This window comes from Homo sapiens, chromosome 14 (assembly GCF_000001405.40).
Source record: "Homo sapiens chromosome 14, GRCh38.p14 Primary Assembly".
NCBI classification, from domain to species: Eukaryota; Metazoa; Chordata; class Mammalia; order Primates; family Hominidae; genus Homo; species Homo sapiens.
The window spans coordinates 74,284,587-74,305,260 of NC_000014.9; the positions used below are offsets into that span (position 1 = coordinate 74,284,587).

The 20,674-nt window shown below is 50.7% G+C and overlaps 2 protein-coding genes across 41 annotated transcripts in view, besides 3 other annotated features; one reads left to right on the forward strand and one right to left on the reverse strand.

Annotated features, from left to right (window-relative positions):
• On the reverse strand, positions 683-18,348 carry ABCD4 (ATP binding cassette subfamily D member 4). 40 transcript variants are annotated; one of them, NM_001353595.2, is made up of 19 exons: positions 18,289-18,348; positions 15,564-15,682; positions 14,962-15,089; positions 13,344-13,483; positions 11,747-11,863; positions 11,268-11,388; positions 10,562-10,612; positions 8,568-8,662; positions 8,162-8,283; positions 7,965-8,056; positions 7,701-7,790; positions 5,705-5,913; positions 5,441-5,532; positions 4,897-4,933; positions 4,130-4,179; positions 3,621-3,673; positions 3,224-3,300; positions 2,115-2,230; positions 683-1,943 (listed from the first exon to the last, which is right to left on the reverse strand). In NM_001353595.2, the coding sequence occupies exons 4-19, from the start codon at positions 13,357-13,359 to the stop codon at positions 1,875-1,877; spliced, it is 1,407 nt and encodes a 468-aa protein (NP_001340524.1). In that variant the 5' UTR covers positions 13,360-13,483; positions 14,962-15,089; positions 15,564-15,682; positions 18,289-18,348; the 3' UTR covers positions 683-1,874. The 40 variants fall into 40 exon arrangements, 30 of the variants coding, with proteins under 30 accessions (NP_001340524.1, NP_005041.1, NP_001340522.1 ...); NM_005050.4 differs by having other exon boundaries at positions 11,268-11,393; NR_003256.3 differs by lacking the exon at positions 14,962-15,089 and having other exon boundaries at positions 11,268-11,393.
• Positions 7,172-8,024: an enhancer, noted in NCBI's record as "H3K27ac-H3K4me1 hESC enhancer chr14:74758461-74759313 (GRCh37/hg19 assembly coordinates)". NCBI's record gives its function as "activates a minimal SCP1, AML or CMV promoter by ChIP-STARR-seq in naive and primed H9 embryonic stem cells {active_cell/tissue: H9 hESC(naive and primed)}" and the evidence as "EXISTENCE:reporter gene assay evidence [ECO:0000049][PMID:30033119]".
• Positions 18,097-18,176: a silencer, noted in NCBI's record as "silent region_5929". NCBI's record gives its function as "represses an Ori minimal core promoter by ATAC-STARR-seq in GM12878 lymphoblastoid cells {active_cell/tissue: GM12878}" and the evidence as "EXISTENCE:reporter gene assay evidence [ECO:0000049][PMID:35858748]".
• VRTN (vertebrae development associated) overlaps positions 18,407-20,674 on the forward strand; it is a 57,016-nt gene continuing 54,748 nt past the window's right edge. Inside the window, exon 1 of the mRNA XM_011536911.3 lies at positions 18,407-18,564. The gene's annotated coding sequence lies outside the window, so the exon portion shown is untranslated. The remainder of the gene's footprint in view (positions 18,565-20,674) is intronic.
• Positions 18,437-18,796: an enhancer, noted in NCBI's record as "active region_8726". NCBI's record gives its function as "activates an Ori minimal core promoter by ATAC-STARR-seq in GM12878 lymphoblastoid cells {active_cell/tissue: GM12878}" and the evidence as "EXISTENCE:reporter gene assay evidence [ECO:0000049][PMID:35858748]".

A 20,674-nucleotide genomic window follows, 5' to 3' on the forward strand; every position in this document is an offset into this window, starting at 1 on the left:
GTCACTGTAGATTCCTGGGTGGCCAAAATGGGTCTTAAGTTTGGGAAACTATTTGCCTGGCTGATGTACGATGCATTTAAAACAAACATTTTGTCCATAATGTACTATGAAGGACACAAGACCTGATTTTCCTCCACGCATGTTTATGTCGACTCATCTAAGAGTAGTCTCCATCTCTGACATGAGGGAGGGATAGAGGTGCAGAGTGTGCCCCTAGGAGTAGCTTTCTTGGGCAGTTTCTGTGAGGGAGAAGGCTAAGTGTTAAGAACAGAACAGCACTGGAAACCAGTTAGAGGCAGAGGAAGCAGCAAATGCAAAGACCCTGAGATAGGAATGAATTGGTCTCCAAAATAATCTGGATGCTGGGCATAGGAGCTCCTGCCTGTGGTCCCAGCTACTTGAGAGGCTGTGGTGGGAGGATCACTTGAGCCCGGGAAGTCAAGGCTGCAATAAGCTGTGATTGTGCCACTAGATTACAGCCTGGGCTACAGAGTGAGGTGTGAGACACTGTCTCAAAAATAAATAATAAAAAATAAAAATAAACAAAATAACTTGGCAGCGGCAGCAGCGTCTGTGAAAAAGGCTTAGGAGCTGAAGAAGTCAGTAAGGATAGAGTAAGTCATTTTTAAGTGGTACCAAGAAAGCGTTAAATAATCTTATATTTTACAGTGAGAAAATACAATTCTCACTCCATCTTTCTGATTTTATTAAGGAGAAAAATCTCAGTTGAGTGCCAGTCCGTCTAACTCCTCACCTCTCTTTTTTACAAAATGAACAAGCCTCAGGCCCAGAGTCTATGCAGGCAACAGCATCTAGCCGTAAGTTAATAACACCGATGGTTTTTCTTGTATTTATTTTTAGTTACTTTCCATCTATGTTAAGTGTAAAATTTCACTTAAAAATCCATTTAAACTTAAAAGGTTTGTTTTTAAAAATATTAAGTAACTCAAGTACTAGAAGTACAGAAGCCTGGCAAAAATTATGAAGGTAAGGAAGGTAATACATAGACAACTGAACTGGAGGGGCACTGGTCTGAGTGAGGACTTTGGGCACAGTAACTCCACCTCATGCTTTGTGCTTTCTGGGTTTTGTCTAATTTGCTGTTGTTGTTCCCTAATATAGACTATTTTTTTAGAAAACCCAACCTTATTTTGGCTAAGGGGAAAGGGATTTACTTTCATTTGGGTTAAGGTAGGGCAGACCAAAGGCCCCTGGAAGTTAGTGGTTCAGGTTCTAACTACACAACACTGGCAAGTGGAAAGGGAGATGTGGGGAGAAGTGAAAAACCCTGGGCATAAGATTCCAGAACAGCAGAGTGTGCTTCCCTTCCCACCAAGCTGTCAAATACAAATCTGGAGATTCAATAAAAAAGATCATTCCATGATAGAGAAGACAGAAAGCTGTAATTCTTTTTAATGTTTAACTTTTCTTTGTAAAAAACTTATTAAAAAACTTAAATGGTCAGTTAAAGTTAAAAATCTATTGCTGCACAATTTAACTGATTAAAAGATTTCCAGATCTCTTGACTCCAAGAGTCATTTCTTTCATTTCTTACAGATCTCACACTTCCAGATTTCTCTTTAGCAAACATGATCTGAAATCATTTGTAGGTAATCAGCACTTCAAGCATATGGAGGCTCTGGCTGAGGCAGCAGAGTCCTGGGAGACTGAACACTGGGAGATTCAGTGTCCCCCACAGAAACCTAGACCTGGGCTCAGCCCACCACTGCTAGGGGTCCTGCACAGGACCCATGTGGCTCCTGCACGGGATCTATGTGGCGAACCTGAGCTCGATCTTCGCTGTCAGTCCTCCTGGTCTCTCCTGAGGGCCGCCGACCCGCCACAGTGTGGCTCTCCTTCCAAAAGCCAGAGCTTCATTCCACTTTGATTCTCATCAGCTCCCATCTTCCTCCTCCACAGAGTTTCAGAACCAAGGAATGAAACTACAAGAGACCACCACCACATGGAGATCAGGCTGCCCTGGCCGCTGGCAGAGGAGGCCACTCGGTTCTCTCTGCTACTGCTACTCCCCGTTTTGAGGGGCCTCTGGCCCTGGCCAGGCTGAGCCTTTGGGTTCTTTCTCCTCCTCAGGCCATCCTTGTGAGCACGGGTACCTTCTCAAGGCTCTGCCGATGTCCCACACTGATGAACGTCATCCCCAGCTGCTGGCCGATGCGATAGAGCTCGCTCTCCACTTCCTCTGTCAGGGCACTGGTGGCTTCATCAAGCACTGAGGGGGCAGAGCACAGAGGAAGAGATCAAAGCCCTGCCCTCTGCCGCCGCTGCTTCTCCTCCCACCCATACTCAACCCCAGCTGGGACCCAGGGGAGGCTGAAAGCTGCTCTGGCTTCCAGAAGCCCTGCCTCAGGGAGAAGGATGGGCCAGAGGAGCAGAGGGCCAGACTCTCCAAGGGAATAGCCTGTGAGCAGCTGCATGAAATCTCTCAGCTTCTATAGATAAGCACCAGCCACTCCCTGGGACCACTCAATCCAGGGAATCCCAGTCCCCCGCAAGAATGTCAGTCTTTGGAAAAGTCCACACCCATCCACCTGCCAGGCACAGCTTGGTGGGAGAGGAGGATGGGTGCCCATTCATTTGATGGTGGAGCCAGAGGAGCATAAAATTATAACCCTTCAATGTTGGCTCCTGGCTCCAGCTGCTGCCAGGCAAAAAGCTTATGAGCTAGGCATAGTGGTTCATGCCTGTAATCCCAGCACTTTGGGAGGCCAACGTGGGAGGATGGCCTGAGTCCAGGAACTCCAGACCAGCCTGGGCAACATAGCATGACCCTGTCTCTACAAAAATAAAAATAAAAAAATTAGCAGGGTGTGGTGGCACATGCTTGTAGTCCCAGCTACTCAGGAGGCTGAGGTGGGAGGATCACTTAAGCCTGGGAGTTCCAGGCTGCACTGAGCCATGACTGTGCCCCTGTACCCCAGCCTGGGTGACAGAGTGAGACTGTCTCAAAAAAAAAAAAAAAAAAAGAAAAGAAAAAAGAAAACAGAAGAAAAGCAAGCTTATGAGCTGGCAGTACCGCATATTCAGTGTTAACTCTGACGATGCCAGGCACTGTTTACACGGGCAGGGCCTGCTGTCCTCTCCAGCAGGGAATGCGGAGAAGCCCAGCCATTCACAGGTGTGCCTGGGTGCCTGTGAACACATGCTGCTACACCCGTGAGTGCAGACAGCGCATGGCATGTGCAGCCACAAGGCGAGACCTCACCTGCGTACTTCGGCTGCAGGTAGAAGAGTCGGGCAAAGGAGAGCCGTTGCATCTCCCCCGGGGACAGAACATCATACCTGAGGAAAGGTAGGAGAGAGGACTGCTAGAGGAGGAAGAATATAGCTTGGCTTTTACCTAGAATGGTCTGGGTAGGAAGAGGTTTCTCTGCACAGAGGTGAGCCCCAGGAGACAGAAGCCCCTTCCCTTTCGACCATAGGCCTACAGCCCTCACAGAGTGAGGCAAAACTCTGTTCCCAAGGGCATAAACTTGCACCCGACTGACCAGCCAAACATCTGGACTTTGGGGTCAGGAGCCGTTCCATTCCTTGACAGGGACCCTGAAACCCACTGTCTTTATGGTGGGGCTATCTCTGGAGCACCCAAGCTCTTTTCTTACCAGTTCCAGTCCACCTGCTGGTCCAGGCCCTCTGTCCTTGCCACCAAGTTGGACTGTAACAGACCCAGAGGGCAGGATGTCCATGAAATGGCCAGCCCTGCTACCTGCCATCATGGGGAACCTCCCTCACTCCCCAGCATACACACACACCTCTAAGACAAATATATGCCCCAGTGGCATACCAAGGCGGGGGACTGTGGGACAGTCTGCCCCAGGCAGAGAGGAATATTCTACCAATGACACTGTTTAGACTTGCTGGAGCATGATGACAGTAAAAAGCAAACCGCCTTCATCAATCCTATTCTTGTTTTAAAATTCTCCAATGAGAGCACTACCCCCTTCGTGCCTAAACCTGGCCAACAGCACACACTGTCAACTGATACTCCCATTCTCCACCCCAGGTTCAGACTTCCAGTCCTGGGCCCAAGCATAGCAGGGCCAGCACCTGCCTACCTGTAGCTGGTGCTCCCAGGTGGGCTCGGGTCCTGAGGGTCCCTCTCCCCACTTACCAGGCCTGCCAATTCCAAGAACCTCAAGATCCTCTCATCATCGGCAGAACCTGCACAACAAAGAAGCCTTCTGCAAAAAGCCAGAGCCTCCTGGCTGGTCAAAATAGACAGGGCAAGGCTGTGCACAGTGGCTCACGCCTGTAATCCCAACACTTTGGGAGGCCGAGGCAGGTGGATCACAAGGTCAGGAGATGGAGACCACCCTGGCCAACATGGTGAAACGCTGTCTCTACTAAATATACAAAAATTAGGCAGGCAAGGTGGCGTGCACCTGTAGCCCCAGCTACGGAAGAGGCTGAGGCAGGGGAATTGCTTGAACCCGGGAGGTGGAGGTTGCAGTGAGCCGAGATCACACCACTGCACTCCAGTCTGGGTGACAGAGTGAAACTCCATCTCAAAAAAAAAAAAAAAAAAAAAAAAAAAGAATAGACAGGGCACATCATGGATGATGCAGGGGTGGGGGCCTCAGAATGCTGGGCGAAGGCTTTGAAACCACAGGTTGCAGATCTTCATAAGGGAAGGGGTGGGTGAAGGAAGGCATCACTTTCCTTGTCCCAGTGGGCATCTCTCCTTAAGGACAGAAAGAATGAGGTGAGATCTGGGTACAGACCCCAAAACAGTCAAAGGAAGAGGAGAGGAGCCCCTCTTCCTTGAATCAGCGGCCTGGCTGGAGCCTCTCCCCAAGGGCACAGATGAGGCCACAGTCAGGTAGAGCAGGGACAACCATGACAGAAGGAGAGGACATGACCTAAGGAGGACCAGCTCACCTGAGTCGGGGTAGACCTCCTTCAGGGGATATATCACCTGAGAAAAGAAAAAAACCACACCAACCTAGGAGGGCGAGCAAAAGACGGAGCTGCACACAGCCCACCCTCCCTCCAGAACCCACTGGAACCTCCCAAGGAGGAGAGGTGGGAACGCCTGGCCTGGGTCAGATGGGAGAGGCTCTGGCCGGCAGACAGCAGGGCAAGGTCCCTACAACCTTCAGAAGTGTGTTTAGGGGGAACAGTCTGACAGCCTCCTGAGGGCAGGGGCCCCAGAATCCGACCTTGGGTGTTTGACATACGCGTGTGGTATTTGGCGTGAGTCCTTGCCCCATTTACCTGCCTCAGGAGCTGCTATGAGTAGTGGGCCCAATCCATGGATGTGAATAGAAGGTTCTTAGAGCCAGCAGTTCCCAGGCCCGGGCCACTTCACCACCTCACCTTTTGCCCTGACTCTAGGACCTGAGACTTGTCACAGTGCCAGAGGTCCCAGCTGTGGGTGGGCGGGGTTGAGGAGGGAGGAGTGAGCCCCCTGAACTAGACTGACCTGCTCCCGAAGGGTCCCGTCAGTGAAGAATGGCTTTTGTGGCAGGAATAGCACCCCATGGGGCCCAAAGTCCGTCAGCATCTGCACTGAGCCTGCAGAGCCCACAGAAACCTCCATTGTGAGATCTCCCAGAAGAGGCAACTGCCTGTCTCCTCTCTTCCTTGTTCCCCAACAGAAAAGAATGGATTCTACCACACCGTCCCCGCCTTCACCCCACCCCTAGGGCCCAGGCTGGGTCAGAGGCAGGGAGGGCCTGGCTCTCACCCCGTGTACTCGTCCAGAGGCCACCCAGAACCCGGAGCAAGGAGGTCTTGCCAGTGCCCGTGTTGCCTGTGATGAGCAGGCTCTGTCCCTCGGAGATCTTTAGGCTCAGATCCTTGATTAGGGGTTTGTCAGAGGAGGGGGCAGAGATGGAGACCCGCTCAAGGAGAAATGCTGTGTCTGCTGGCTCTGCCGCTGGCCACCCTGGGGGTCTGTGTCAGAGAAGAGAGGGGGCGTGAGGAAGATGGGCAGGGTCAGTATTGCTGTGGGGGAGGCACTGCTCCCGGGAGCCACCACCTGTGGATTATTATGGGCTGACTTGCATCCTCCCAAAATCACATGCTGAAGTCCAGCCCCCTAGTGACTCAGAATGTAACTGCATTCGGAGGCAGGGTCTTTTTTTTTTTTTTTTTTTTTGAGAGAAAGTCTTGCTGTCACCCAGGCTTGAGTGCAGTGGAGCTATCTCAGCTCACTGCAACCTCCGCCTCCTGGGTTCAAGCGATTTTCCTGTCCCAGCCTCCTGAGTAGCTGGATTACAGGTGCCCACCACCGTGCCCATATTTTTAGTAGAGACAGGGTTTCACTATGTTGGCCAGTCTGGTCTCGAACTTGTGACCTCAGGTGATCTGCCCACCTCAGCCTCCCAAAGTGGTGGGATTATAGACGTGAGCTTCCGTGCCCAGCTGGAGGCAGGGTCTTTAAAGAGATGATGTTAACATGAAGTTGTTGGGGTGGGACCCTAATCCAATATGACTGGTGTCCTCTTAAGATAGAGGTGGCAGGGGCACGCACATATAAAGGAAAGGCCACGTGAGGACACAGCAACAAGGTGGCCATCTACAAGCCAAGGAGTGGCCTAAGAAACCAACCCTGCTGACAACTTGATCGTGGACCATAAGCATCCAGAATTGTGAGGAAATTAATTTCTATTGTTTAAGCCAGCCGGTTTGTGGTTTTCTGTCATGGCAGCCTGAGCACATTAATACAGGGGTAGGGGTGGAACTTCTACTCTCTGCCTGGCTGGACAAAGCCCCTTATGGGACTGATCTTACTCAGTCTAATGCCCATGAGTCTCAAATATCATCACAGATGAGGACACTAAGAATCAGGTGGCTAAGTAACTGCCCAGGTTGCAGAGCGGTATTCAACAAATTCTAATGCTGGTGGGTCTTCATGGCATCACAGTGTGACCAGAGTACTAATAACAAGAATGGGAGTGGTTAAAGCTAAATGGTTCTGGAGTTTCTGCCTCTGCATGGATGCCTGGCTCCCCACAGAACAGCAATTCCAGTTTCCTACAGACCCTCCTTCATGCCCAGCCTCTGCACTCATGGTTGCATGAAGCTTTCATTTGGAACAGAAGCAACAGTTAAGGTATTAGCTCCTAAGAAAAGCAAGTTGAGTGTAGGCCCTGGAATTCAGACTGATTTTTGAAAGCTTATGATGTGGCCACTGTCCAAGCACTTTCCATGGATGATGATATCTAATCCCTACAACAAGTGAAGGAAGTTCATTATGACCTCCTTTTCAGACATGAAGAAACAGAACAGTTAGGTAATCTGCCCAAGGAAAGTGTGGAGATCAAGCAAATCCTGAATGCACAGAAATATTACAGATCCACGCAGACACACGGATACAGACATCTCTGGGGCTGAGTGAGGTGGGGGAACAAAGACAGACATGCCCCAAGGAAAGGGGCAGGGAGAGGAATCAGCGGGAGGAGGAAGCACAGGAAGGGGAGGACACTGCAGATTCCTGTTATCTCAGGCAGAAGGTGTGTGTACTTTGCTTCCACTGGCCGGGGAATGGTGTAAATTAACACAACAGATGCCGGAACAGCAACATCGACTGTGAACTTACATGTGCCTGGCATTCCATTTCCATTTACTCCTTACAACTCTGCTGCCCAGCTGGGAAAGGGCAGGACTCCAGGGTAACCCAAGCCAGGTGATGCCACAGCCTGCAGCCTCAACTACTGCTCTGCCAGCCCGCTACTCACGTGTCCAAGCCCCACTCGCTCTCGCCCAGGATCTCGCAGTCCTGTGACTTCAGGGACATGTCCAGAAGCGTCTCCCGAAGCTGCCCAATTCTGAACAAGAAAAGAAAATCTGAGGCAGGGTCTGGGAGCCAGGTGAAGGTGAACTCCTTTTCCTATCTCACACCCACGAGTACATGGTATGTCTCTGTTCCTTTTTTCACTCAGCCACTTCTGCCAGCAGCACACACTTTGCTCAGGAGCCAGAGGGGTGGGACACGGCCTCACCTGTGCGTGTAGCCAGCCACATCTGAGAGCGTCGTGGACAGGTCGATGAGCTGGGTGAAGCAGCTGATGAGGTAGATGCACACAAAGGCATTCTGGACAGGATGGGAAGAGGTCAAGCAGGTCTCGACTCGAGCCCACAGACACTGGGCCAAGGACAGAGAGGGACAGCATGTGGGGTGACCAAGAGGGAGTCTCACCTTGCTGACCAGGGTGCTAAGCTCTGCGGGACTCAGGTCTCCATAGACCCCGCTGAAAATGGGGATTGCGATGACAACGTAACTCAGGATGCTGCCCAGATAGTCAAAGGTGTTGATGCCGACTGTAGAAAACACATCTGTGAGACACCCAGGAACCATCCACATGCCCTACAGCGGACACAACCCTAAGACAGGGAGCAGGACGCCAAGTAGGGCCACGTGGACTCTCTGGATCCTCATTCTCCTGAGGATACTCACAGAAAGGCAACAGCCCCCCCTCCTCATCCCCGGTTAATTCCTTCATCATGGCACATTTATCCTTGCAGACAGGAGGTAGAGAGGTGTGGGAAGGGAAGCAGACCAGTCCAACCCCATGGTTCCCACTTCCCTGGGCCCCCTCGCCTACTGTACAGCCAGAGCTCCTTGGACATCAGCTCCCTCTGGGTCTGAAGGAGTCTCTGCAGCCTGCGGTCTGTCCTCATGTGCTCCACATGCCCAGCTCTGACAAGGAAAGGCTGGGATGTCCACAGGGCTGGAGAGGTTCAGCCAGGTTGGGGGGCCGCCTGTCCCATATCACACCCTCCTTTAGAAACCAAGGCCATTCAAATGATCTTGGTCTCAGGATCTGTCTACTGGTAGCGCCCATTCACGGCTTCAGTCATGCCTTAATGGTATTGTCTGTGTGAAGAACATAAACTCTAGAGTTGGGCAGACCTAGTTCAAATCCTGGCTCTGGCCAGTTACTAGCTGCGTGACACAGGCAGGCTACTTAAGCCTCCAAGCCTCAGTTTTTTTAATCTATAAAATGGAGCCAATAATACCTATGTAATAGGTTAGAGTTAGAATTAAAAGTTTCTAAATATAAAGTGCCAAGCACATAAGGAGCCCTCAATAAATAAAAACTATTGTTAAATAAACATACACAGAGCGGTCACTAGGTGTACCAGGCATTGCACTAGTTAGCTAGTGCAATAAAGAAATGAGAAAATTATCTCTGTCTTTGAGGAGCTCTCAGTCCAGAGGGCAGGCAGGCACACTGCATTCTTCACTTGGAATCAGGAGTACTAAGTGTGCCCTCAGGGCCATGGCAGCAGATAGGCTTAGCCATTAAGGGAGTCTGGGAAGGCTCTCCAGAGGAGGTGATCTGGGGTTTCAAGGATGGGAAGAAATTCGCTAGGCAGAAAAGGTGGAGGGAGATTTCAGATTTTGCACAGAGGCCACAGAAGAACTCATCTGAAACTCTACAAACTAACCTGCCTTCCCCAGAGCTTCATGAGCAGAGGCTGCAGAATCCAAAAGCAACTTTTTTCTTTTTTTTTTTTTGAGACGGAGTCTTGCTCTGTCACCCAGGCTGGAGTGCAATGGCAGGATCTTGCCTTACTGCAACCTCTGCCTCCCGGATTCAAGTGATTCTCCTGCCTCAGCCTCCCCAGTAGCTGGGATTACAGGTGCCCGCCACCATGCTCAGCTAATTTTTTGTATTTTTAGTAGAGACAGGGTTTCACCATGTTGGCCATGGCTGGTCTCGAACTCTTGACCTCAGGCAATCCACCCGCCTCGGCCTCCCAAAGTGCTGGGATTACAGGCATGAGCCACCATGCCCGGCCTCCAAAAGCAACTTTTTTACACACCCAGCCCTGCCCACCTCACAACCCCACCCCAGCGCAGATTCCCAGTATTCTTGGTGCCCTCAAGTGGTGGAGGTTGCAAACTGCAGCAGAGACTGAGGAGCAAAGGTCCCAGGGCTATCACATCCACCCCAAGTACAGAGCCAAGGAGTAGCTTCCACTTCTTAAACGCAAACCTCTGCCTGCACTATCAATCCTAACGCTGATTTCAGAGGCCTCACATAAGGCAGAGCACAGGGACCGGTTCTGGCCCTGGAGGGAAGGGATGGGATTTCATGCCGCTGCTGCTGCTCCTGCTGCTGCCGTCAGGAGACCAGACGCTTGGCTCCATTAGACAGCATTGTGGGGAGCAGGTCTCCTGGTTTTCTGAGAAGCTCCCATTCCATCCCACGCTACGGAGACAAAGGATCAGGCTTGAACCTCAGGCACTGGCAAGAAAGCTTCTTAACAGACAGAAGAGCAGAGGCAGACGGATGTCTTACAGTCACCAGCAAGAGGATGAGGCATTCATTCATTTGACAATTTCAGGCCCCACGCTAGGCCACTAAGACTAAAGCTGGCCACAGTAAGGAACCACCAGCTTCAGAAGCAAACCCCTGGACCTAAGGATGAGGCAGGCAAGGGCAGGGGGAGGTAGAGGGAGAGGGTCACAGCCAAGTGTGACAACACTCAGCCCCTGAGCTCGGTGGTGGTGGGAGGGTTGAGGATTCATCTTTCCTTCTCCACTCTCAGCTCTGGCAAGGCAGAAGGGGAACCATCTCTCCAGACTCACCTGTAGAAAGCAGCAGGCTCCGCATTCACCCGAATCTGCATGTGCTTGAACCTGGGCGGACCAAAGGGAAATGTGTGCTGACAACAGGGAGTACTGGCCTCACTCTTGTTGGAGTCCTGGATCACAAAGACCGCCCAAGCGGAGCCCGGCTCTGCCTCAAAACCGTGGCTGCCTCAGTCTGACCCTTTCCTGGACTGTTATGGGGTAGAAAACCCCAGGGCTAGGTGGTGTGGCAGGAGCTCTGCAGAGACAGGGCTGCCCCTCAGCTTTCTGCAGAGAGGACAGGGGTATTCCTGCTCACAGCATCTCCTCCTCCCAGGGCCTGGCCCAAAGGAGGGGGACAAGAAGCACAGGGCAGGCACTGGATCCATTGGCTGCCACACCCAACTGATCCAAGACAGGGCGGTTATGCCAGGGCAGTGAGAAGGCCAAGAGATGACAATGACGATGGTGATGGCCAGGCAGACACGGTTCTCAGACCTTCTCAGGTATGATTTCATTAATCCTCCTAATCCTCTCAGTAGGCAACGGTACCATTTCCACTTTAGAGACAAGAACATTGAAGCTTGGAGAGGTTAAAGACCTCTCCAAGATCACACAGCTAGTAACTGGCACAGCTAGGATTTGAACTTAGGCAGTTTTACTCCAGATCCCCTTCCTTAACTATTATGCCCCAGCCCAGAAACCTCAAGTGAGGGAGACACACCTAAAATCTCCCTCCAGCTTCTCCTGATGCACCAGCTTCATCACAATGGGGCCCATCAAAGTTTTGTTCACCACGGTCCCCAGGATGAAATACCCGAAGATGCTCACAGGCCCGAGCCAGCCTGTGCTGAAATAGAGAGAGAGGGAGAGAAGGGAGAGGGTGTGGGGTGCCACCTATCCCCACATGCCTCAGCCCTGACTCCTGTTCCCTCTCAGGTAGCCCCTGTCCAATCTGAGTGGCCCAATGGGCCCTCTGCTCCTATGTGGGGGCATCTGGTATGAGCTCTCAGAGCCAGGATATCTGTGACACTGCAACACAGGGCCAAAGGAAGGGCAGGGGCCTGAGCACGTGGGATGGGTGAGCACGTGGTAAGGTACGGTGGGAGAGAGGGGAAATAAGCTTCTCTTGGACCTTGACCTGGGAGAGCTGACTGAGGGCCCTCTGGGGAAACACCAGGCTGGGGAGGAGGGAGGCTTCACCTTTGGAAGCACTGGTAAGTGTAGTAGACGAGGGTGAACGGGGAGATGATGAGCTTGCTGGCCATGCTGCTGAGCTGCCGGCAGAATCGCTCCACGTCCTGGCTGATGCGCTGGTCCCTGGAGCCAATGACACAGAGTAGCTGGACCCAGGGAGATGGGCCCAAAGGTAGAGAGAACAAGAAACTTTCACATCACCTCTGCTCTTGACCTTGCCTCACAGTGCTGTGAACACTGACCCTATGGGAAGAGGGAACCAGACAAGGCTGGTTTCCTAGGGGCAACTAAATCCCAGGGCCTTTAAACAGGGTTCTAGAGAGTTGCATCTTACGGTGCCTTAGTTAATCCCCTGAAAAAGTGGGAACTGAAAGGTCCAGTACCCAGGGGCCTGAGCCAGCTCTGAGCAGAGCCAAAGAAAAACTTGAAGGTAGATGAGCTGTTTTGGATGATCAAGAAGACTATCCCCTTTATCTCAATCCTCCCAAATTTCTCTTATATAAGCCCTAGCCTGGCCCCTTTAGTTATCTGGCTGTGAAAGCTCCAGGCTGTGAGGCACACCTGTAGTCCCAGCTACTCAGGGGGCAGAGGCAGGATGGAAGCCATAGCCATCAGAAAGAGGCCTAGAAGTTAGGCAGCAGCAGCAGCCTCCCACGCATCTTTGCACCAAAGCTAAGCTTGAGCTGAGAGGTACCCCAACCAACAAAGTGCTTGCTAGGAAGGTGGTGAGTGAGGGGATGGGTGTGAAGGAGACCCCCTATGTCTCATCTCACCACTAGGGCCATACTGATTCCTATTCCCAATGAGTGACGTGACCTTGGGCAAGTCACTTGCAATCTCTGGGCTTCAGCTTCCTCATCTGTAAAATAACAATAGCTAACTTACACTGAAACACTTGCTATGTGTCAAGCACTGTACATGTGCATTACATGAATGATATTTCATCCTCACTACACCCTTTGAGATAGGAACTATTATTGTCCTCATTTTACAGAAGGGGAACCTGGGGCTTGGTGACTTTAAGAGTTATAACCTGAGTGGTGATAGAATGGAGATGTGAATCCTAGACTGAGTCCTGGATAGTGGTAATTTTTTTTACTGATGAAAATCTAAGAGCTGGTTTTTCTAGCAAGGACATTTTCTTTAGAACCCTCTAAAGAAACCCCTTAGTCTTCTTACTGGAAGACTAAGATATAAAGTATGAAAAGGACAAAAGAAAGCTGCTCCTAACATTTTTCTTTTTTTTAAGAGATGGGGGTTTCTGCTATGTTGCCCAGGCTAGAGTACAGTGGCTATTCCCAAGTGTGCTCACGGTGCACTACTCCTGGGCTCAAGTGATCCTCCTGCCTCAGCCTCCTGAGTTGTTGGGACTACAGGTGCATGCCACTGCACCTGGCAGGCTTCTTCTTTTTAGCTGCCTATTCACAGCCCTGCAGCTTCTCCAGGAGTCCTCTGCAGGGCACCCTCCCCCATGACTCTGGGCAGCAGCATTTGAAAACGACTGCAGATGATCTCCTTGGTGTCTGCCACCAGCAGTCTCCAGGGCTAGGCCAGAAGGAAAGGACCACACAGAGTGTAGAAAGGACTGAGTTGGGGCGCCTACGGGTTATCGATGTCATCCCGCAGCACGTTGAGGGTGTAGTACGCACGGCCCCGGAAGTAGAGGCGGTGAAGGTGCTCAGTGAGGTCCTTCCTCCAGCTCACATACAGCAGGTTGCAGGTGAACTGATCAAAGCTCTTCAGCTGTGCAGTGGGGGAAGCAAGGGGAAGGGAGAGATGGCTTCCTGAAAATCTCAGCTCAAAGCTCAAGGCTCGCAAGAGCCTCCGCTGACCCATCCCAGCCCACTCTGACTCTGATTACTCCGTCCACTCAGCACTTTTCTTTTTTAAATCATCGAGTCATGGGACTTTCCCTTCCTCACTCACTCACGTGTTCATTCCTTCACCAAATTTTTTTTCTCTGAGATGGAGTTTTACTCTTGTTGCCCAGGCTGGAGTGCAATGGCGCGATCTTGGCTCACCACAACCTCCGCCTCCCAGTTTCAAGCGATTCTCCTGCCTCAGCCTCCCGAGTAGCTGGGATTACAGGCATGCACCACCACGCCCAGCTAATTTTGTATTTTTAGTAGAGACGGGGTTTCTCCATCTTGGTCAGGCTGGTCTGGAACTCCCGACCTCAGGTGATCCGCCCGCCTCGGCCTCTCAAAGTGCTGGGATTACAGGCGTGAGCCACTGTACCCAGCCTCCTTCACCAAATATTAAAGGGCTTACCAGAGGCAAGACCCTCTTTCTACACTGTCTTATTTTGAGAGTAGATGAGCTTCTGAAGATTGGAGACCATATTGTCGATTCCATTTATGTTCTTACTCCTTTGTCCCCCAAGCTTGGGACAGAGATTTGTATGCATAGGTGCTTACTGACCGAAGACCCAACAAAAGTGGCCATGGTACGATGAGCAGTGGCTTCCCCAAGAAAACAGGTGGCACAGCCTGGCAGACAGCATTAGGCTTGAGTTCTGGTACAGCCCTGAGTCTCATCATTTACCATTTCCAGGGCACCTATGTGCTAAGCACTAGGGACATTATGAGCTCACAGTTTAGCCAGAAAACAATTACAAGCGTGTGAGGAGTGTTACAGCGAGGTAAACTCAAGGAATTCGTTAAGTACAGAAAAAGGGCAGAGTTTGGTGGAGGAGACACAAAGGAGAAAGCTGAGAAAGACTTGAAAGAGGTGACAACGGAGGGATGACGAAGAGTGAGCAGGTGGTAGCCCCCCTACTGAATGAGGGGTAGGGGAGGAGGCCATTCTGCAAGAAAGCACTGTTCAAAGGCTGGGAGGTGTGACATGGTGCCAGGGTGAGTCACAGCCTCGGTCCCGCAGAGGAGGAGCAGCAGCTCTGGCTGCTGAGCCGTTTTAATGAGCTGCCGGAAATAAGAGTTCTAGGAAGGAAAGGGGCAATGATCAGTTCTGCTAAATGCTGAATTAAACCAGAACCTGTGGCCTGGGCCCAGGAGTGGAAACATCTGAGGAATCAGTCCCACGTGGGCCAATAGCAAGATCAACGTGCTTAATAAAGGCAACTATCCCTTTAGTTCCCAGAAAAGGGAGGAAACACACCCCCACAGCTTGCTTCCTGCTTCCTGGAGGCTAAGTTCCACTAGGCATTACGGTCACACTGGACTGGAGAGGACGAGAGACACAGAGAGAGGGAAAGATCTTACCGTGGAGTTCAGAACAATGAGCATGACAGCCAGGAATGTCAGAGTCTTAAACCCTTCCAAGTCTTTGTTTCCCAGGACCCCATAGTACTGACTGGGGATCAAGCCAACCTGGTAGATCACAAATTGCTCTGAAAGGAGGGAGAGGAGTAAGAAATCAGTGATGAGGGGTTAAAAAGAAGGGAGGCTTCTTCCTGAGTCCCTGCCTCATCAGCACCCCAAAGAGATGAAAAGGGGCCGGGCGCGGTGGCTCACGCCTGTAATCCCAGCACTTTGGGAGGCTGAGGCGGGTGTATCACCTGAGGTCATGAGTTCGAGATCAGCCTGGCCAAGATGGTGAAACCCTGTCTTTACTGAAAAATACAAAGTTTAGTCGGGCGTGGTGGTGGGTGCTTGTAATCCCAGCTACTCAGGAGGCGAAGGCAGGAGAATCACTTGAACCAGGGAGGCAGAGGTTGCAGTGAGCTGAGATTATGTCACTGCACTCCAGCCTGGGCAACAAGAGAGAAACTCTGTCTCAAAAAAAAAAAAAAAAAAAAAAAAGATGGAAAGGGACCCCAAACCAGAGCTCCCCTCCCTCCTCTAGTCTGGGCTCACTCACTCACCCAGTAGGGTCAGGCACAAAAGGGTCAGGAACATCAAGGCATTTTGTGATGACCAAGAAGGAAACAAAACCTTCAGTATCTGCAGGAACCGCTGGAGAAATTGCAGATCTAACCTGGGCCTGAAGAGAAGGTGGGGAGGCAGAGAAAAGCCCAAGACAATAATTAAGCCTTAGGGAGTAGTTATTAAGCTCATCCACATTGTTCTGTAGAGGGTCCAGGCCATGCAGAAAGAATGGTTTTCAAATGCTGAAGATGGTAGGCTGGGAACAGACCACGGATACAAAGGAAATTCTTTGGCCAAGCGTGGTGGCTCATGCCTGTAATCCCAGCTACTCGGGAGGCTGAGTCAGGAGAATTGCTTGGACCTGGGAGGCAGAGGTTGCAGTGAGCTGAGATTGCGCCATTGCAACAAGAGCCTGGGCAACAAGAGCAAAACTCCGTCTCAAAAAAAAAAAAAAAACCAAAAACAAAAAACTTAAAAAATTACAAATGGATTAAAAATCTAAACGTGAAAAGTAACACTATCATGTTAATAGAAGGAAATGTAGAAAAATGTCTTAATGAAGATACCTTAAAAACCTATACAGGGGAAAACTGATGAATTTAACTTCATTAGAGTTAAATGTTTTTATTCAACACAGTGCCATAGATTAAGTTAGAAGACTTGGAGGTGGTATCTGCAGAGTGCAAAACCAACAAGGACTTGAAATCTTTATTTTTTTGAGACGGAGTTTTGCTCGTTGCCCAGGCTGGAATGCAACGGCGCAATCTCGGATCACTGCAACCTCCGCCTCCCTGGTTCAAGTGATTCTCCTGTGTCAGCCTCCTGACAAGCTGCAATTACAGGTGCATGCCACCACGCCCGGCTAATTTTTGTATTTTTAGTAGGAGACGGGGTTTCATCATATTGGTCAGGCTGGTCTCGAACTCCTGACCTCCGGTGATCCACCTGCCTCGGCCTCCCAAAGTGCTGGGATTACAGGCGTGAGCCACCGCGCCTGGCCTAAAATCTTTTTTTTTTTTTTTTTGAGACAAGGTCTTGCTCTGTTGCCCAGGCTGGAATGCAGTGGTGCGATCTCAGCTCAGGGCAACCTCTGCCTCCCGGGTTCAAGCGACTGTCCCACCTCAGCCTTTTTAGTGGCTGGGAGTACGGGCGTGCGTCAACACGCTCAGCTAATTTTTGTATTTTTGGTAGAGATGGGGTTTCACCATGTTGCCCAGGCTGATCTTGAACTCCTGGACTCCAGTGGTCCACCTACCTCAGCCTCCCAAAGTGATAGGATGACAGGTGTGAGCCACCGGGCATGGCCAGGATCTAAATCTAGAGCCTACAAGAATTCCTGCAAGCCAGGAACATAGGAAATCCACAGAGAAGTGGGAAGGGATATAAACAGGCAATTCAAAAAAGGGAAAACCCACGTTTAATAAACACATGAAAATGTAGGCCGGGAGCAGTGGCTCACGTCTGTAATTCCTTTATGCACTGCCCGTCGGGAAGTGTAATCCCTGCACTTCGGGAGGCCGAGGCGGGTGGATCACCTGAGGTCAGGAGTTCAAGACCAGACTGGCCAACCCCCCCATCTTTGCTAAAAATACAAAAAATTAGCTGGGTGTGGTGGCGCGCGTCTGTAATCCCAGCTACTCAGGAGGCTGAGGCAGAAGAATCGCTTGAACCCGAGGCGGAGGTTGCAGTGAGCCGAGATCATGCCACTGCATTCCTGCCCGAGCAACAAGAGCAAAACTCCGTCTCAAAAGAAAGAAAGAAAGAAAGAAAGAAAATGTACACGATGGGATACCACCTTACACCCCCCAGACTGATAAACATTACAAAACCAGCCGCCACTGAACGATGGAGGGATACCGGGAAACAGGAAGCTTTATGCACTGCCCGTCGGGAAGTATAAACTAGTGTGACCATTCCAAAGAACAATCCAGCAAAATTAGATATGACCAGGACCCAACTCTGGGGTGGATACCCAGAGAAATGCAACAATATGCACAAGGAGACAACTGCCAGAATATTCGTTACAGTGTGGCTTGTGGGGGTGTTAATACTAGAAAAAAATCTATCCACCACTAGGGGAATAAGTCTATGCACACAGCACCCCTCATGCAAGCACTCAGAAGTGAAAACAAGATGACTAGCATGGATGGACTCAAAAACACAATGTTGAGGAAAAAGGTTTAAAGAAAAATCACAGCATATTATATTGAAGAATTCGAAACCGCTATATAGATTTCAAAGTAACACTTGCACAAATTTACCCAAGGTGGACCGTAAAGCCACTTATATAACACACCAGAGTGGCTGTCTGAAAAGGGGAGTGAAAGGGGTCTGGGAATAGGAACGAAGAGAGGAAGTGATAAAATAAACAAGGAGCCTTGCATTGGCCCACAGGGTGTCAAGAACTGAGAAGGATCAACTCAATTTTGTGCACCTGAGGTTCTTCTTTTCAAAAAAAGAATGCCAGTTGCGAGGGTGAGGGTCCCACACCGCAGGAGATGGCACAAGTCCGGCCAAGAACGGAGGGGGCCGCGGCCGGTGCGGAGCGGCCTAGAGCGGCGGGAGGGCGGACGCCCCTTCGAGAGCTCCTCTTTCTCTCAGAAGTCACGGGGGCGAGACGGGGGCGCCAGGGCGGCGGACGAGGCACGGAGGGCAGGAAAGCCCATTCCCTACAGCCCGGAACTCCTGCTCCCAAACCTCCTCCCCGACCGCCCTGCTTACCTGGCGCCAGCTCCGGGCGCGGGCCCCGCGACCGCCATGACCTGAGACCCGAGGGACTCTGGAGCCCAGCTGCCCCTAGTTCAGTACTGGGTAGAGTCCGAGGAGGGGCGGGGCCCCGGCTACCACAGAGACGGCGTTTGATAGAGAGGAAGGTGCGGGAGACGCGGACTCTCCCGGAAGCGACCGACGTCTCTAAAAGTACCAGAGAGTGGACTCGGCTGACCCGGCGGCTACAGCGCCCCCATATTTTCTGGGAGACTTCCCTTTTGACAATAGGTATCCGAGAGTGTAACTACTTTATGGCAAGTATTTTAGATTCTGTGTATAATAGATGTTTTACATATTCTCCCAGAGAAGCCAGCATGATCTTTAAAAAAGTATAAATTAGGCTTCCAGCCGGGCCCGGTGGGTTACTCCTGTAATCCCAGCACTTTGGAAGGCCAAGGCGGGAGGATCGCTTGAGCCCAGGAATTCAAGACCAGCCTGGGCAACATGGCAAGACCCCGCCTTTACAAAAGACAAAAGCATTAGCCGGGGATGGTGGCGAGCGCCTGTGGTCCGAGCTACTCTGGAGGCTGAGGCAGGAGAATCACTTGGGCCCGGAAGGTCAAGGCTGCAGTGAGCCGTGACTGTGCCACTGCACTCCAGCCTGGGCGACAAAGAGAGACCCTGTCTCAAAAACAAATAAATAGATGATAATGATCGATAGATAAGATAGATAGTTGAATGAATGAAATGCTTATCAGTTGACTGATTAGTACCCAAAGGGAGGTGGGAAATGGCTCAAAAAAAACCCAAACAGCATGATCCCACAGGTCCCTAAATTTGAATCTGGATGTGTCTTCTCACTTTCCTCCAATCCTTATTAAGTTTCAACTGCAAGCCAAACACTCTACAACATGCATGTATCACTTGTCTTTATGAAAGTTGCAGTCTAGCTGGGTAGGTCAATCAGTTGACAATTACAGATTTTTTTTTTTTTTTTTTTTTTTTTGATACGGAGTGTTGCTTTTGTTGCCCCGGCTAGAGTGCAATGGCGCGATATCGGCTCACGGCAACCTCAGCCTCCCGGATTGAAGCCATCCTCCTGCCTCAGCCTCCCGAGTAGCTAGGATTACAGGCATGTGCCACCACGCCCAGCTAATTTAGTATTTTTAGTAGAGACAGGGTTTCTCCATATTGGTCAGGCTGGTCTTGAACTCCTAACCTCAGGTGATCTGCCCGCCTTGGCTTTCCAAAGTGTTGGGATTACAAGAGTGAGCCACCGCTCCTGGCCTTTTTTTGTTTTTGTTTTTGTTTTAGACGGAGTTTCGCTCTTGTGGCTCAGGCTGGAGTGCAATGGTGCTATCTTGGCTCACTGCAACCTGTGCCTCCCGGGTTCAAGCGATTCTCCTGCCTCAGCCTCCCGAGTAGCTGGGATTACAGGCATGCACCACTATACCCGGCTAATTTTGTATTTTTAGTAGAGACGTGGTTTCTCCATGTTGGTCAGGCTGGTCTCGAACTCCCGACCTCAGGTGATCCACCCACCTTGGCCTCTCAAAATGCTGGGATTACAGGTGTGAATCACCGTGCCCGGCCTACAGCTGTCTTTATGAAGTGCTATGACAAACATACCATACAGCAGGGGTTCTCAACTTTGGCGCCATTAAGTTTTGGGGCCTGATCATTCTTTGCTGTGTAGGCTTTCCTATGCAATGTAGGATGTTTAGCTGTATCCCAGGCCTCTACGCACTAGATGCCGGTGGCATTCCTTCTGACCTAGGCATCCCAAAATGTCTCTAAACATTGCCAAATGTCCCTTAGGGGAGAAAGGACCAAAATTCCAGCTTTACCCCACCCCCTAGCATTGAGAACCACTGCCCCAGAACCAAAGAGAAAGGCATTTAACTCAGCATGGGGAAAAGTGGAATCTAGAAAGACTTTGAAGAGGAAATAACTTTATTCAAGTATGTCTTTCTTATTTTGAAAACCAAAAAAATAGGATGCAATTTTTGAAAAATTAATAAGGCAACCAAAGTATTAAAGCAAGCAACGTCACCTCTCTAGGGTAATCTAGGTTTACAGATCTTGTCCCCTTTCAGTCTCAAAAATGTCCTAGTTTGGTATTCGGTGGCATTACTGTCCCAGGGTGCCTCAGCATTGTCTATTACTGTAAACTTTTAAGAAGTAGCAGGCTGGGCACGGTGGCTCACGCCTGTAATCCCAGCGCTTTTGGAGGCCGAAGCAGGCAAATCACCTGAGGTCAGGAGTTCAAGACCAGCCTGGCCAACATGACAAAATCCCGTCTTTACTAAAAGTACAAAAATTAGCCAGGTGTGGTGGCGGGTGCATGTAATCCCAGCTACTTGGGAGGCTGAGGCAGGAGAATTACTTGAACCCAGGA